Source organism: Homo sapiens, chromosome 11, assembly GCF_000001405.40.
Source record: "Homo sapiens chromosome 11, GRCh38.p14 Primary Assembly".
In the NCBI taxonomy this organism is placed as follows: Eukaryota; Metazoa; Chordata; class Mammalia; order Primates; family Hominidae; genus Homo; species Homo sapiens.
In genome coordinates this window covers 46,828,524-46,845,020 of record NC_000011.10, presented here as the reverse complement: position 1 = coordinate 46,845,020, position 16,497 = coordinate 46,828,524, and the positions used below count along the sequence as shown (strand labels likewise).

The window sequence follows — 16,497 nt, the reverse complement described above, 5'->3', positions numbered from 1 at the left end:
TATTTTGCAACCATAAGTTAAATCTAGTTGGTAAACTCATGTAAAAAAATTTTTAAATAAGATTTTAGGCTGGGCGCGGTGGCTGACGCCTGTAATCCCAACACTTTGGGAGGCCGAGGCGGGCGGATCACGAGGTCAGGAGTTTGAGACCAGTCGGGCCAACATGGTGAAACCCCGTCTCTCTCTCTCTCTCTCTACTAAAAATACAAAAAATGGCTGGGCGTGATGGCGGGCGCCTGTAATCCTAGCTACTCGGGAGGCCGAGGCAAGAGAATCATTTGAACCCGGGAGACAGAGGTTGCAGTGAGCCAAGATCCCGCCATTGCACTCTAGCCTGGGTGACAGAGCGACCCTCTGTCTCAAAAAAAAGAAAAAAAATTTTTTAAAAGGCTGTTCACTGAGGCAATGGCAAGCAAAGGTATTCCGTAACAATTAACATGCCTTTTACTTTATTCTCCATTACTTTAAAGTCTTGATCAGTTTTGAATTATGTTTGAATTATGAACAGTGGGTGTGGTAATTCCATCGCAGTCTTCTACTACTGACAGTTCAGTTTTAGCAGCACCTGTTTTTTTGGTGTTTTTTGTTTGTTTGTTTGTTTGTTTTTTACCTTCACGGTTTATTGTAAAGGATGCTACAAAGCATACAGATGAAGAGAGGCGTAGGGCTTGTAGGTATGGGAGAAGGGTGTGGAGCTCTTATGCTCTCATATGAAGTGTGTTTGAATATACCAACTCTCCTGTAAACTTTTATCTTAATTCCATCAACACTCACTTTCTTTTCCTTTTTTTTTTTTTTTAAGACAGAGTCTTGCTCTTTCGCCCAGGCTAGAGTGCAGTGGTGCGATCTCAGCTGACTGCAACCTCTGCCTCCTGGGTTCAAGCGATTCTGCCACCTCAGCCTCCCAAGTAGCTGGGACTTCTTGTGTGCACCACAATGCCCAGCTAATTTTTTGTATTTTTAGTAGAGACAGGGTTTCACTATGTTGGCCAGGCTGGTCTCGAACTCCTGACCTCAAATGATCCACCCGCCTCAGCTTCCCAAAGTGTTGGGATTACAGGTGTGAGCCACCACACCTGGCTAACCCTCACTTTTCTAACTGTAGCTTCTATTAGGACTTTATCAACAGGTTTTGTTTTTGCAATACTAGGTAGGGGAAGTGTTCCCCAGCCAGACATAATATCCATTCCTAATAAAACACATTTACATATAGGAGACACAGCTTCCAACTTTCATAGTTCTGTCAACACTTACATCTTTGTGTTCTCTCAATTTTTTTTTTTTTTTTTTTTCAATCAGATCTCACTCTTTCGCCCTGGCTGGAGTGCAGTGCTGCTATTATGGGTCACTGCAGCCTCCACCTCCAGGGCTCAGGTGATCCTCCCATCTCAGCCTTCCGGTAGCTGGGACTACAGACGTGCATCACCATGCCTGGCAAATTTTTTTAGTTTTTGTAGCGATGGGGTTTTGCCTTGTTGCCCAGGCTGGTCTCGAACTCCTGGGCTCAAGGGATCCTTTTGTCTCGGCCTCCCAAAATGCTGGGATTACAGGCGTGAACCACTACGCCTGGCCTTCTCTTAATCTAACTGTAGCCCTGTTCGGGGCTTCACCAATGGCTCTTGGTACTACTGTACCTGGGGCTTCCATATGAAGGAGTCCCAGGAATTTCTTTTTGCCACTCCCTGACCATTTTACCTACTTATATACAGAAGGCTTGGGGTCCCCAGCAGGTGGTTGAGCCAAGAGACCCTTGCCCATTTGCCAGTCTTTATCTTGACTCATCTACCTATTGTTTCCACAATTTCAGATCAGATTTCTCATTGTAATCTGCCTCCTGACTTACAATTTCTCCAAACTGGGGTAAATATAGCAAACTTGTTTGGAACCCCTTAATGGTGGGAGACCAGCAGGGTCTCCCTTTGGCTCCCAGGCTAGTCTTGAACTCCTGGGCTCAAGTGATCATCCTGTCTTGGCCTCCCAAAGTGCTGGGATTATAGGCATGAGCCACCACACCCTGCTACCTTACTTCTTTTTTTTTTTTTTTTTTTTTTTTTGAGACGGAGTCTTGCTCTGTCACCCAGGCTGGAGTGCGGTGGCGCGATCTCGGCTCACTGCAAGCTCCGCCTCCCAGGTTCACGCCATTCTCCTGCCTCAGCCTCCCAAGTAGCTGGGACTACAGGCGCCCGCTACCAAGCCCGGCTAATTTTCTGTATTTTCAGTAGAGATGGGGTTTCACCTTGTTAGCCAGGATGGTCTCGATCTCCTGACCTCGTGATCCGCCCGCCTCGGCCTCCCAAAGTGCTGGGATTACAGGCGTGAGCCACCGCGCCCGGCCTACCTTACTTCTTAATAACCATTTAAAAATTTCCACCTTCCGGGTTGAATCCATTTGCCCTCTGTCTCACCATTCTCTTAACCTAATGGTTTTATTAGCATCTGTAAGACCCACGAGAGGAAACTGAGACAGCACATTTGATAAGGCTTCTCGAACTGTCTTTTGATTTTGCAACAGTAAGGTTATCCACATTAAGGGGTCACCCTTAACCACAGCATTTACCATGACTGGGTAGTGGGCATATTCAGAGGGTAAATGTCCTAGTCATCATAAAGCCAGTTTCACATGGCTTGCATATGAAGTATATCAGTGGCTCTATCTGGATCTGGGGTGTTCCACTTGGCATTTATGGAATCAGACTGTCCCCTTCAGGAAGCTTATGATACTAATGTACAAAGTGAAACAATTCCTTCACATTGTACCCCCTGGTTTCAATAGTTCTTTGATTTTTGCAGACCACCTTCTTTGTTACCAGAGGTCTTAGAAGCACTTTCTGTTGTCCCGGCATACATTTTTCCCTTGAGGGACAGCTTTGAGGTTAGTGGCCTAAGCTCTCACATTCACTGAAAGCTGAGCTTGGTCTAGCGGGAAGGTCCAACCCACCACTTTCTTTTAATTTCATTTTAGCTGTTACAGATAACAATAACCAAGGGATTTAACATTTCGCTTTTTTTTTTTTTTTTTTTTTGAACCAAAGTCTTACTCTTTCTCCAGGGCTGGAGTGCAATGGCACGATCTCGGCTCACTGCAACCTCTGCCTCCCAGGCTCAAGTGATTCTCCTGCCTCAGCCTCCTGAGTAGCTGGGATTACAGGCGTGAGCCACAGCACCCGCCTAAATTTTTTGTATTTTTAGTAGAGATGGAGTTTCACTGTTAGCCAGATGGTCTCAATCTCCTAACCTCGTGATCCTCCTGCCTTGGCCTCCCAAAGTGCTGGGATTACAGGCGTGAGCCACCGTGCCGAGCCAGCATATCACTTTTTTAATACTAGTTTGCATTTCCTTGTGCATCCTGTGAACCAACTCCCAGGCAGTTGGATCCATCTCTGGATTCCATGGATAACTTTTACCTTTAGTAATTGATGACAGCACAGCTTCAGCTCTTTACCATGGGTGACCACTTGGCCACCTAAGAATCAAAGTTCTTTATCCCTATCCTTTTATCCTTTTTCTTCCCAAACCATATGTGTCTGTGAGCCAAGTCATTCTAGCAAATCCCAATTCTGACGCCAATTCTGAGAATATAGAATAAGAAACTTTAATAAGTTTATCTTATACTCTCACAATACAGAAAACTTCTGTGACCTCAGATGTGTGAGATTTTTTTCCCCACACACCAAGCAAGTAGTTCTTCAGCAGTGGACACTAGCTGTGTGTCCTCTAATTCAGTTCAATTCTGACACCTTTTTTTTTTTTTTTGAGACAGAATTGCTCTGTTGCCCAGGCTGGAGTGCGGTGGCGCAGTCTTGGCTGACTGCAACCTCTGTCTCCCGGGTTCAAGAGATTCTCCTTCCTCAGCCTCCCGAGTAGCTGGGATTACAAGAACCCACCACAACACCCATCTAATTTTTTGTATTTTTAGTAGAGACGGGGTTTCTCCATTTTGGCCAGGCTGGTCTTGAACTCCTGGCCTCAAGTGATCCGCCCGCCTCAGCCTCCCAAAGTGCTGGGATTACAGGCATGAGCCACCTCACCTGGCCAATTCTGACACTTTCTATCTGGAGGTAGTGTCAGATCCCACAGGTTGAGGGTTTAGTCCCAGAAGACTGCCCCCAACTCAGATGCCAATCTGAAGCCCCAGGTTTTTTTTTACCTGTGCTTCTGTAGGCTGACTATAAAAATGGGCATTCCTAATACCGCCCCCCATTCCCTGCCTTGGGTTTGATTAATTTGCTAGACCTGTTCATAGAACTCAGGAAAACACATTTTCCAGCCAGTTTATTATAAAGGATATTGCAAAGGATACAAAGAGCTATATAGGGTGAGGTATAGGGGAAGAGGCATGGAGCTTCCATGCCCTCTCTGGGCACACCACGCTCCAGGGACCACCATGTGTTCAGCTCTCAGCTTCTCCAGCAGCAAAGTTTTAATTGCAATAAATTTGAGTACCTTAATATTATGAACACTGTTCTAGGTTTTTGGTAAGCAATTAAAAATAATAAACAACTTTAACAGTGCCTTAGGATAAGTGTTAAAAATTTTGACAGGGAATGAGTATGTTAAGGTAAAGCCAGGCTCTCTTATGCTCCTTTAATGGGGTCTTATTCATTCATTGAACAGATATTGAGATTGATGCTTAATGTCTGTCACACATTGTTCTAGATTCAGGGAATACACTGGTGAACCAGAAAAAGACAAAGGCCCTGACCTAAGGGAGTTTGACAGTTTTATCTGTCAAACAATTTACTGTAGCAAATTATAGTTTCTGTAATCCCTCTGGGGTCAGCTCTGGTCCTTGAATAAAATACATGCCCAGATACTTTTACTAGCAGTAGCTAACATGTATTGAATGCCTACTGGGTCCCACATTTTGTTTAATTAATTAATTAATTAATTTTTTTGAGACAGGATCTCACTCTGTCGCCCAGGCTGGAGTGTAGTGGTGTGATCATGGCTCACTGTAGACTCAACCTCCTGGGCTCAATCTGTCCTCCCACCTCAGCCTCCCAAGTAGGTGGGCCTACAGGCACATGCTAATTTTTGTATTTTTTGTAGAGATGGGGTTTTGCCATGTTACTCAGGCTGGTCTCAAACTCCTGGGCTTAAGCAATCTGCCCTCCTTACCCTCCCAAATTGCTGGGGTTACAAGCATGAGCCAACATGTCCCGCTACATTTTATCTTTTTTTATCCTCACAATGTTTTACAGATGAGGAAACTGAGTCTTTAAAAGGCTGTGCAACATGCTCAAAATCATAGAACTAAGTGATAGAATCTGAATTCAAACCCAAGTCAGTCTGTCTCCAGGGCCTTTGCTCTTAACCTATGATTGTACTACGTGAAGTAGGGATCTGTAGGAGAATTCAGGAGCAATTTCTGGGTAGAATTCCCCCAGCCCCTTTTAAAAAAGTACTTCTATCGGAGATGTGATGAAATATGAATGACAGGCATGATAGTTTTTAGAGGAAAGATGGCATTTACCATATGGAAGATGGACAACTGTGACAGTGGTGGCGGTGGGTAGCTAAAGGGACGCATAAAAATTGAGTTCTTAATCTAATTAGGATTCTTGGTAGTCAATGTTGGAGAGTTTTAAGGTTTTTAAATGATTTTCCTATTCTTGCCTCTGGAGTTTAGAATACATTACTTAGCTCATTTCTATCAGGGCAGTTACTCTACCTACTTGATGTGTATAACTCCAACACATTACGCTTATTCTTTTCGGTCTTTGCATTCTGTTCTGGAACTTCTCACTTCACTCTACCCCTACCCCCAGCCTGTATTACTGGCACTCTCAGGCTTCAACTTAAATGTCATCTCCTTAAAGAGACACTTTTCTGAGCTCTGAATTAGAGGAGCCCTCTTGGTCACTTTTACTTCACTTTTCCTTATTTACTTCATAGCATATATTGTTATGTAATTGTTTATTGTTTGTCTATATATTGTTAGATTTTCTCATAAAAATGAAAGCAGAACATAGATTTTTTTTTTCCTTTGAGGTTACCTCAGTGACTCAACAATGCCTGCAACAAACTAGGTGGTCAAAAATATTTGTTGAACAAAATTGGCCAAAACTGGCATCATCTTCTCTGAACAAAAAAGTGATAAAAACAGTATCTGACTATTCAGTTGGCTGTGTTTCTGTGTCTTTATTTATTTTTTTTTATTTTTATATTCTAAAAATGTTGCGACAATGGTGGCTCAGCAATTTTTTTTTTTTTTTTTTTTTTTTTTTGAGATGGGGTCCCACTCTGTCTCCTAGGCTGGAGTGTGTTGGCCTGATCTCTGCTTACTGCAACCTTCACCTCCCGGGCTCAAGGGATCCTCTCACCTCAGCCTCTAGTGGCTGGGACTACAGGCGAGTGCCACCACACCCGGCTAATTTTTTTTTTTTTTTTTTTTTTTTTTTTTGAAGAGGCAAGGTATTACTATGTTGCCCAGGATGGTCTTGAACTCTTGGACTCAAGTGATCTGCCTGCCTCGGCCTCCCAAAGTGCTAAAGTGCTAGGATTACAGGCGTGAGCCACCGTGTCTGGCTGTCATTTTTTTCTTTTTGTGGAGACACAGTCTCAGTATGTTGCCTAAGCTGGTCTTGAACTCCTGGCCTCAAACAATCCTCTCGCTCCAGCATCCAAAGTGCTGGGATTACTGGTGTGAGCCACTGCACCAGGCTTGTTCCTGTGTTTTTGGGTGTAAGCAGTATCTTAACAGTCTCAATTAGTCTTAAAATTATTTTAGACTAGTTCAGAAAGTCTTTAAGAAAGCTAGAAAAATTATACATCTGAATTTTTTAAAAAAATTTTAATCTGTTTTGAGAGGTACTAGTCAAATACATTGTAAGATGTCCTTCTATTGGAATTTGTCTGATGTTTTTCTCATTAGACTGGAGTTACAGGTTTTGGGCAGGAAGACCACAGAGGTAAAGTGCCATTTTCATCACATCATATCAAGGGTACATGCTATCAACATGATTTATGACTTAATATTGACCTTGACTGTTCATATTGACCTGAAATAGTGTTTGTGAGGTTTCTACAGTGAATTTACTTTTTTTTCCCCTCCTTTTCTATACTGTATTCTTTGAAGGGAAGTCACTGTTTGCAGCCCACACTTAAGGAATGGGGAGTTCCTTGATCTTAGGGTGGAGTACCTACTTAATTTATTTGAAATTCTTGTCTCTCCTTTCCCATTTATTAGTTTAGTCAAGTATTTACTGATAATAGTGTGGACTCAAGTATATTTATTTTATATTTTAGGTTACACTCCAATATTACATTATTTTGTTGTTCAGGTTGTTCCAGCTTTGTCCTTTGGGAGCTTCCTGTATTCCTTTAACATACATGTGTGTGTGTGTGCGCGTATTTGTATTGATCTTTGAGTACTTCCTTACTATCTGGAAATGTTCCAGGCTCATCTTGTGTATTTCTTGTCCCAGTGCTAGAATCAGCCATTTCCCCAAGGTGCCCTGGTTCCCTTATTGGAGAATGCTATTAGAAACAAGACCTGGGTACTGAGTGTTCTCTTTGCTACTGGGGTGTCATTTCTTTTAGGTCCTTTCAACTGTTAGAGCAAAGAAATATATGAATGTATGCTAACCCCATGTATATAGACATATCTATAAATATTTCTCTATGTAGCCATCTGTGTCTATATTAAGTTAAACGAGTTCCATAGATCACTTTCAGTAGTATGGGCGGGGGGGAAAAACATGAGTTCCTACTGGTGTCTCCAATTCTGATCCATTATCACATAGATCATTCTAGCCTCCTCCCCTTGCTGATCTTTGAATTTCCATTCACAATAGTGAAAAACCTAATTTCCACCATCCATTTATTTAATTGTCCAGTTCCATTATATATGGATATACATACATGGATAGCAGTATCAGAATTGCTAACCCATACTCCATGAAAAAAACTTTATCAACTAGAGTACATACTTCTGTGCAGTTCCTTTTGCCCTTAATCTTTCAGACTCCACTCATTACCAAAGCTACTTAGGTCAGAACCTTTTTCCCACCCCCTTTGGTGAAGTTGTTTCACACATCTGTAATATAGATTCCCTTGTCATAGTCTTCATTCTTTTCTGCAATCTCCCAGTCTCCTAAATGACTTTTTAAAATTTGCATACATTAAAGTTCACTCTTTATGTCATAAAAGTCTCGAACTCCTGCCTTGGCCTCCCAAAAGTGCTGGGATTAACAGTACAACCCACTGTGCCCAGCTGACATAAATTTTTAATTCAGTTGGATAAATACCTAGAAGCAGGTTGCTGGATCATATGGTAAGACTAGTTATAGTTTTGTAAGAAACTGCCAAACTCTATTCCAGAGTGGCTGTACCATTTTGCATTCCTATTAGCAATGAATGAGAGTTCCTCTTGCTCCACGTTCTTAACAGCACTTAGTTCTATCTGGTTTTTGGATTTTAGCCCTTCTGGTAGGTATGTAGTGTCCCCACTTTATTATTATTATTATTTTAAAGAGATGGGGTCTCACTGTGTTGACCAGGCTGGTCTCAAACTCCTGGCCTCAAGCAATCCTCCCATCTCAGCCTCCTGAAATGCTAGGATTATAGGTTTGAGCCACTGTGCCTGACCTAGTGTTCTCACTTTTTAAAATTATTCGTTTTCACGACATTACCTTTTTTGAAAATAAATGTTAGTTTTTTAAGAGGAAACTTTTTAAAAATTAACTTTATTTTGGAATAATTATAGATTGTTCCAACAGAAAAGTTGCAAAGATGATGTGTAGGATTCCTGCATACCTCTCACCCAGTGTGCCCTGTTATTAACATCGTTTAAACAAACTCCAGATTCTGTTTGTGTTTCAACAGTTTTTCTATTCATGTGCCCATTCTGTTTCAGGATCCAATTCAGGGTAACATATTGCACTTCGTGGTCATCTCTATTAGCCTTCTCTGGTCTTTGGCAATTTCTCAGTCCTTCCTTGTTTTCATGACCATGACCATTTTGAGGAGTACTAGTCAGTTGTTTTGTAGACTGCCCTTCTCTTTGTCTTTGTCTGATATTTTTCTCATGATTAGTCAAGAATTACGTGTTTTTGGAAAGAATACCATAGAATACCATATCATATCAGGGGTTTTGTGATATCCATGTGACATCATTAGTGATATTAACCATGATCACTTGATTAAGTTAGTGTTTGCTAGGTTAAGTATTAAAGTTAGTATTTTTCCCTTTCTATAGCTATTCTTATGAAAATGAGTAGCCAGGTCTAGCCCACCCCCAAAGTGGGTGAAGGGATTAGATTCCACTTCCCGGAGTTAAGGGTATCTACATATATTCGGAATTTTGTAAGGAAGATTTGTCTCTTTTCACCCATTTATTGCTTTATTCCACTGTTTGTATCTTATGGACTAGTGTGTATGTGTGAGTGTGTATTGGCTTGTGTATATTTATTCTGTACTTTGAGATTTTATAATCTATTTTTTTCCGTCGAATAATTCCAGCTTTGACTGTTGGGAGCTCTTTTTGGTTGGCTCCTGTGTCCCTTTGACATGCCCCCATCTTTTTAATTTTTTTTTTCTTTTTGAACACTTTCTTATTTTCTGGTACTTTAATATGCTCCAGGCTCATCTTTTATTTTCTCTGCTCTAACCCTAGAATTAGACATTTCTCCAAAGATTTCTGGTTCCTTTTGCTTGGTATTTAGAAACCGAGATCTGGATACTCTGCCGTCTGCTCCTTGCTAGTGGGGTGTCAGTGTTTCTAGGCCTTCTCAGCCAAAACAGCCAGGTAATATATATATGTATTTTAAAGGATAATGGTGGATGATTATTCATTTATACTTTATTTTTATTTTTTTAGTTGATATTTTATTTTATTGACTTCTCTCAAACAGATTCTATTCACTCTTCTATGCACAATTTCAGCCTGCTTGGTTCTTTAAATCAATTGCTAAATTAGAAAGAAGGCACTGCTACAAGATAACTAGAAGTGTTAGCTTGATCACAAAGGTCGCGAAACGAAAGCTGTAAAATATAAAGCCAGCCTGAGCAACATAGACAGACCTCATATCTAGGAAAAAAAAAAAAAATTAGCTGGGAGTGGTGGTGCATGCCTGTGGCCCAGCTACTTGGGAGGCAGAGGTGGGAGGATTACTTGGGCCTGGGAGGTGGAGGCAGCAGTGAGCCATGTTTGTGCCACTGTATTCCAGCCCAGACGACAGAGTGAGACCCTGTCTAAAAAAGAAAAGAAAAATCTCTATCCAGTACATAAAAATATTTTTATGCTTTAGAGGGCTGCCTACAAATTTTGAGCAATGTTTAATATGGGAGATTCCTCCAAACCTATGGATAGTCCCCTTGAATATCACCAAATAGCATATAATTTTTTAATAGTGAATCTGCTTTCTATAGGATGAAAAGGAATAGATTGCTTGTACACCCAGAGAAGCAGTTTGTTTTAGACCAGAGAGGACTTGCCTTACTTGGTCCTAAGGGCTGTAACCCGACTTAGGCTTCTCTTTTTTTTTTTTTTTTTTTTTTTGAGATGGAGTTTTGCTCTTGTTGCCCAGGCTGGAGTGCGGTGGTGCAATCTCAGCTCACTGCAACCACCGCCTCCCAGGTTCAAGCGTTTCTCCTGCCTCAGTCTTCTCAGTAGCTGGGACTGCAGGCATGTACCACCATGCCTGGCTAATTTTTGTATTTTTAGTAGAGATAGGGTTTCACTATGTTGGCCAGGCTGGTTTTGAACTCCTGATCTCAAGTGATCTGCCCGTCTTGGCCTCCCAAAGTGCTGGGATTACAAGTGTGAGCCACCGCACCAGGCCAAGTTAGCCCACTCTTATATCAAAGGACTGAAATATAGGTTTGTTTAAGTCTGAAATCAACCTAAAATCTCTCAATGACACTGGGATGATGCTTATAATGATATAGTAAAAGGCCAAGCCGGGTGGATCACCTGAGGTTAGGCTTTCAGGACCAGCCTGGCCAACATGGTGAAACACCATCTCTACTAATAATATCAAAATTAGCTGGACGTGGTGGCACACGCCTGTAATCCCAGCTACTCAGGAGGCTGAGGCAGGAAAATCACTTGAACCCAGGAGGCAGAGGTTGCAGTGAGCCAAGATTGTGCCATTGCACTCCAGCCTGGGCAACAAGAGCAAAACTCCATCTCAATAATGATGATGATAATAATAATAATATAATAATAATATAGTAATGATAGCTGTGGTTTACTGAGTGCTTGGTATTTGCCATGAAATCTGTTAATACTACTACTTACTTAGCTGGGCCCAGTGGCTCACACCTGTAATCCCAGCAGTTTGGGAGGACGAGGCGGGCGGATCACAAGGTCAGGAGATTAAGCCCATCCTGGCTAGCACGGTGAAACCCCATCTTTACTAAAAATACAAAAATTAGCCGGGCATGGTGGCAGACGCCTGTAGTCCCAGCTACTTGGGAGGCTGAGGCAGGAGAATGGCGTGAACCCGGGAGGCAGAGCTTGCAGTGAGCCGAGATCCGCCAGTGCACTCCAGCCTGGGCGACAGAGCCAGACTCCGTCTCAAAACAAAAAAAAAATTAATAATAATAACAATAATATAGTAATGATAGCTGTGGTTTACTGAGTGCTTGGTGTTTGCCATGAAATCTGTTAATACTACTACTTACTTGCATAAAATCCACTGGATTTGTTTAATTTGACCCTTTCCAATCAGCCTTTCTCTTATTTGGTCACATGGGTCATATTTTTGTTCTTTACTCTTGCCTGCATCTTTTAGAGATCCACACACATGCCTGAAACATTCTCTGTTGTCCCTACTTTTTGCCTTTGCTTGGATAACCCCTATTAATTTCATTTAGTTTTCAGCCTGAGTATCACTTTCACAGGGAGACCTTCCCTGAACCCCGCTGCCCCAGTCTAGATTAGATTCCTCCGTCATACTCTCTTATTGTACTTTGCCTCAGGGCTATTGTGGTGCACAGCCTATACTCAGCATCTAGATGAGCATCTAACACCGAATAGCCTCACACTATCTGACAAGCACAGTTGTCAGGACAGGAGAATAATGTGAATATTTGTGGGAAAAAAAATTTTTTTTTTTTTGAGATAAACTCTTGCTGTGTCACCCAGGCCACAGTGCAGTGGCTCAATCATGGCTTACTATAGTTTCAACCTCCTGGGTTCAAGCAGTCCTCCCACCTCAGCCTCTTGAGTAACTGAGACTACAGGCGCATGCCACTACACCTGGCTATGGAGGGAATTCTTAACATGTAAAAGGCAAAATCTCATTTAATCTTTACAACAATGATTAGATGAGTCATGTTAGGCAAGTTACTCTGTTTGCCTCAATTGCCTCATTATTAAATAGGGATAATAATATCAACTTCAAGGTTTTAAGGATTAAATGAGTAAATACATGTGAAGTGCTTAGGATAGTGCCTGGCACATAATACGTGTTCAAGAAGTGTGTGTTAAATAGGGAGCAACATGAAGATGGTATTGTTATGATGATTGATAAAACTGAGGATCAGCTGGTTTGTGGCAGAGCAAGGTTTACAACTCAATCTGTCTACCTCCAGAGCTCAACATGACTCCAGGTTTGCACTAAATTTAATCTAGAGTAGAGCTTTCTACAGTAAGATTTCTTTCAAGCAACTGTTTTACTGCCATGGCTTTGCCAAAGTGAAAGATTCTAAAAATGAAATTACCCTCTTTTAGTGGATCTTATAATAAAAAAGTAACTAACTAGGAAAATAGTGGCAAAAATCTTAGAAAATTTCAAAATAATATTACTGAGTGATTTTTTTCACTTTGAAAAGGGTTTACTTCAGAATTTTATTAAATATATATTGTTTTCTCAACACATTTGAAATACACATTCTACAAAATTTTCTTTATAAGACCAGGCGCAGTGGTTCATGCCTGTAATCCCAGCACTTTGGGAGGCTGAGGCAGGCAGTTCACTTGAGTCCAGGAGTTCAAAACCAGCCTGGGCAAGTGGTGAGACCCCATCTCTACAAAAAGTAAAAAAGTTGGGCATGGTGGCAAACACCTGTGGTCCCAGCCACATGAGATGCTGAGGCAGAAGTTTTGCCAGAGCCCCGGAAGTCGAGGCTGCAGTGAGCCATGTTCCTGCTACTGCACGCCAGCCTCAGTAACAAAGCAAGACCCTGTCTCAGAAAAAAAAAAAAAAAAAAAGGATAAGTTTATTGTATATTTAAGACTTCTGACTGGGTGGGGTGGCTCGCAAGTGTAATATCAACTCTTTGGGAGGCTGAGGCAGGAGGACTGCTTGAGCCTGGGAGTTCGAGACCAGCCTGGGCCACATAGTGAGACCCTGTCTCTACAAAAAAATTTAAAAATTAGACAGATGTGGTGGTGCATGCCCCAGTAGTCCTAGCTACTCAGGAGGCTGAGGCAGGAGGCTCACATGAGGCTGGGAGGATGAGACTAGAGTGAGCAGTTATTGCACCACCATACTCCAGCCTGGGCAATGGAGCAATACCCTGTCTCAAAAAACAAAAAACAGAAAGACTTCTGTGACTTGATGAAATGGTGCCATTTTAGAAATTTTACACTAGAGCACAAAGCACTATGCAATGCTGGGATAATGAATAAGACTCAGTTCCTTCTTTCAAAGGAGATATCATGTATACAAAAAATGTTAAGAGAGAGAGTGAAGTGTAGCCTATGGGATGAGTATAGGCAGATGATCCAACTTCAAGCCTCTAAGTGGGAATTTTAAAGTTTTAAAGCTTTTAAAAGCATTATTTATCATCTAAGCGGGAGTTAAATAAAGAAAAAGTAAATGAAAAAAATTTAATAATATAAAAAATACAAAAACATTATTATAAAAGATGCTGAAGCTCATTATTAAAAATCAGAAGGCATGGATGGGTATTAAAGTTCAAAGTAAAAGTTTTTTCAAAAAAATTTCTTTGCTTAACCCTTAGACACACTCTCAGAAGTCATGGTTAACAATTTTTTTCTTTTTTGAGACTGATTCTCACTTTGTTGCCCAGCCTGGAGTGCAGTGACGCGATCTCGGCTCACTGCAAGCTCCGCCTCCCAGATTCACGCCATTCTCCTGCCTCAGCCTCCCGAGTAGCTGGGACTACAGGCACCCGCCACCATGCCCGGCTAATTTTTTTGTATTTTTAGTAGATACATGGTTTCATCCTGTTAGCCAGGATGGTCTCGATCTCCTGACCTCGTGATCCGCCCCCACCTTGGCCTCCCAAAGTGCTGGGATTACAGGCAAGAGCCACCACCCCGGCCCATGGTTAATAATTTTCTACAGATCCTTCCAGAAAATGTTTATGTGCATTCAAACATGTACAATGATGTCCTAGTTTTCTATGGCTGCTGTAACAAATGACCACAAACTTGGTGGCTTAAAAAAACAGGATTTATTCTCTCACAGTATGGAGGCCAGAAATCCAAAATGAGTCTTATGGACCTACATCAGGGTGTCAGTCAGCAGGGCCACACTCCCTCCAGAGCCCCTAGGAAAGAATCTGTTCCTTGCCTCTTCCAGCTTCTGGTGGCTGCTGGCACTCCTAGGCCTGTGGCCATCTTTCTCTACTCTATTCTAATTTTTTTTTTTTTTTTTTTTTTTTGAGACGGAGTCTTGCTCTGTTGCCCAGGCTGGAGTGCGGTGGTGCCATCTCGGCTCACTGCAAGCTCTGCCTCCCAGGTTCATGCCATTCTCTTGCCTCAGCCTCCCGAGTAGCTGGGACTACAGGTGCCTGCCACCACGCCCGGCTAATTTTTTGTATTTTTAGTAGAGACGGGGTTTCACCGTGTTAGCCAGGATGGTTTCGACCTCCTGACCTTGTGATCTGCCTGCCTTGGACTCCCAAAGTTCTGGGATTGCAGGCGTGAGCCACCGTGCCCGGCCTACTCTATTCTAATCTTTCTCTGATCCCTCTTCATATCACTTTCTCCATTGGGTCAAATCTCCCTCCGTCTTGCCCATAATGATATATGTGATTGCCTTTACCCACCCAAACAATCCAGGGTAATCCCCCCATCTCAAGATCCTTAATTTAATCACATCTGCAAAGACCCTTTTTCCAAATAAAGTAACATTTACAAGTCCCAGGGATTACAACGTGATTTCTTTGGGGGTCATTATCAGCCTACACAAATGCATATGTAAATGTGTATGTGAGATACACACACACACACACACACACACACACACACACACACACACACATACAAAAAAGGAATTAGACTTCATATACTGTCTTGCAAATTTCTTCTTAAAACTTAATGGATTTCTTCCACATAGGCACATTTGACCCTTGAGCAATGCCAACGTTAGGGATCCCCCTGTGCAGTGGGAACTTCACATATAATTTTAGACACCCCCAAAACTTTACTAATAGCCTACTGTTGACCAGAAGCCTTATTGATAACATAATTGTTTAACACATATTTTGTATATGTATTATATATTGTATTCTTACAGTAAAGTAAGCTAGAGAAAAGAAAATGTTAAGAAAATCAGAAGGAGGAAAAATATTTTTTCTCGCTCCATCGTTCAGGGTGGAGTGTTGTGGTCCCCTCTTGGCTCACTCTTTCTGGGCTCAGGCAATCCTTCTACCTTAGCCTCCCGAGTAGCTGGGACTAACAGGCATGTGCCACCAGGCCCAGATAATTTTTTGTATTTATTTTTAGAGACAGTAAGTAGACTGTCTTTTAAGTAAAGTAAGACTTTATTGCCCAGTAAGTAGAAAATATATTTACTATTCATTAAATGGAAGTGGATCATCATAAAGGTCTTCATCCTTGTCATCCTCATGTCGAATAGGCTGAGGAAGAGGAGGGGTTGGTCTTGCTGTCTTAAGGGTGACAGGGGCAGAAGAAAATTCACATGCAAGTCAACCCGTGCAGTTCAAATCCATGTTGTTCAAGGGTCAACTGTATTTATATATTTACTTCTGTCTTCCATATCATCTTTTGTTTACTTTAAATATTTGCAAAGCAATTTTTGTATAGACGAATGTCTCATTTTTTGTGTATGGTAAAAAACAATAGTATAAAATTTACCATCTTAACCATTTTTAAGTGTACAGTTCAATAGTGTTAAGTATATTCACATCGTTATGAAACAGATCTCCAGAACTTTCTCATCTTGCTAATCTGAAACTCTGTATCTAAATATTTCTCTTATCCCCCTCCCAAGCCACACCCCCACCCCATCTTTGGTTACTACCATTCTACTTTCTGGTTCTATGAATTCATGAATTTGACTGCATACCTCATAAAAGTGGGTTCATACAGTATTTGACTTTTTTTGTGACTGTTAGTAGATTTTTTTCTCTAATTTTTAAAATGTTTAATTCGCTCATAAGCACAGCACAGGGTATTATCCATTTGTGTGTGCATACACACATACACTCATTGTACTATGTTTATTGCAGTTAACTGAAGTCCTATGTCACTAGAATGCTATGTAACAGAAAATGTTGGTCATACCTCTTGTGATAAATATTTGTTGGGTACTTATTTTGTATCACACATTGGAA

The 16,497-nt window shown here is 41.5% G+C and overlaps 1 protein-coding gene across 2 annotated transcripts in view, besides 1 other annotated feature; it reads left to right on the top strand.

Moving 5' to 3' along the window:
• CKAP5 (cytoskeleton associated protein 5) overlaps positions 1-16,497 on the top strand; it is a 103,233-nt gene that overhangs the window by 1,260 nt on the left and 85,476 nt on the right. The gene's annotated exons all lie outside the window — the stretch shown is intronic.
• Positions 557-1,462: an enhancer, noted in NCBI's record as "H3K4me1 hESC enhancer chr11:46865110-46866015 (GRCh37/hg19 assembly coordinates)". NCBI's record gives its function as "activates a minimal SCP1, AML or CMV promoter by ChIP-STARR-seq in naive H9 embryonic stem cells {active_cell/tissue: H9 hESC(naive)}" and the evidence as "EXISTENCE:reporter gene assay evidence [ECO:0000049][PMID:30033119]".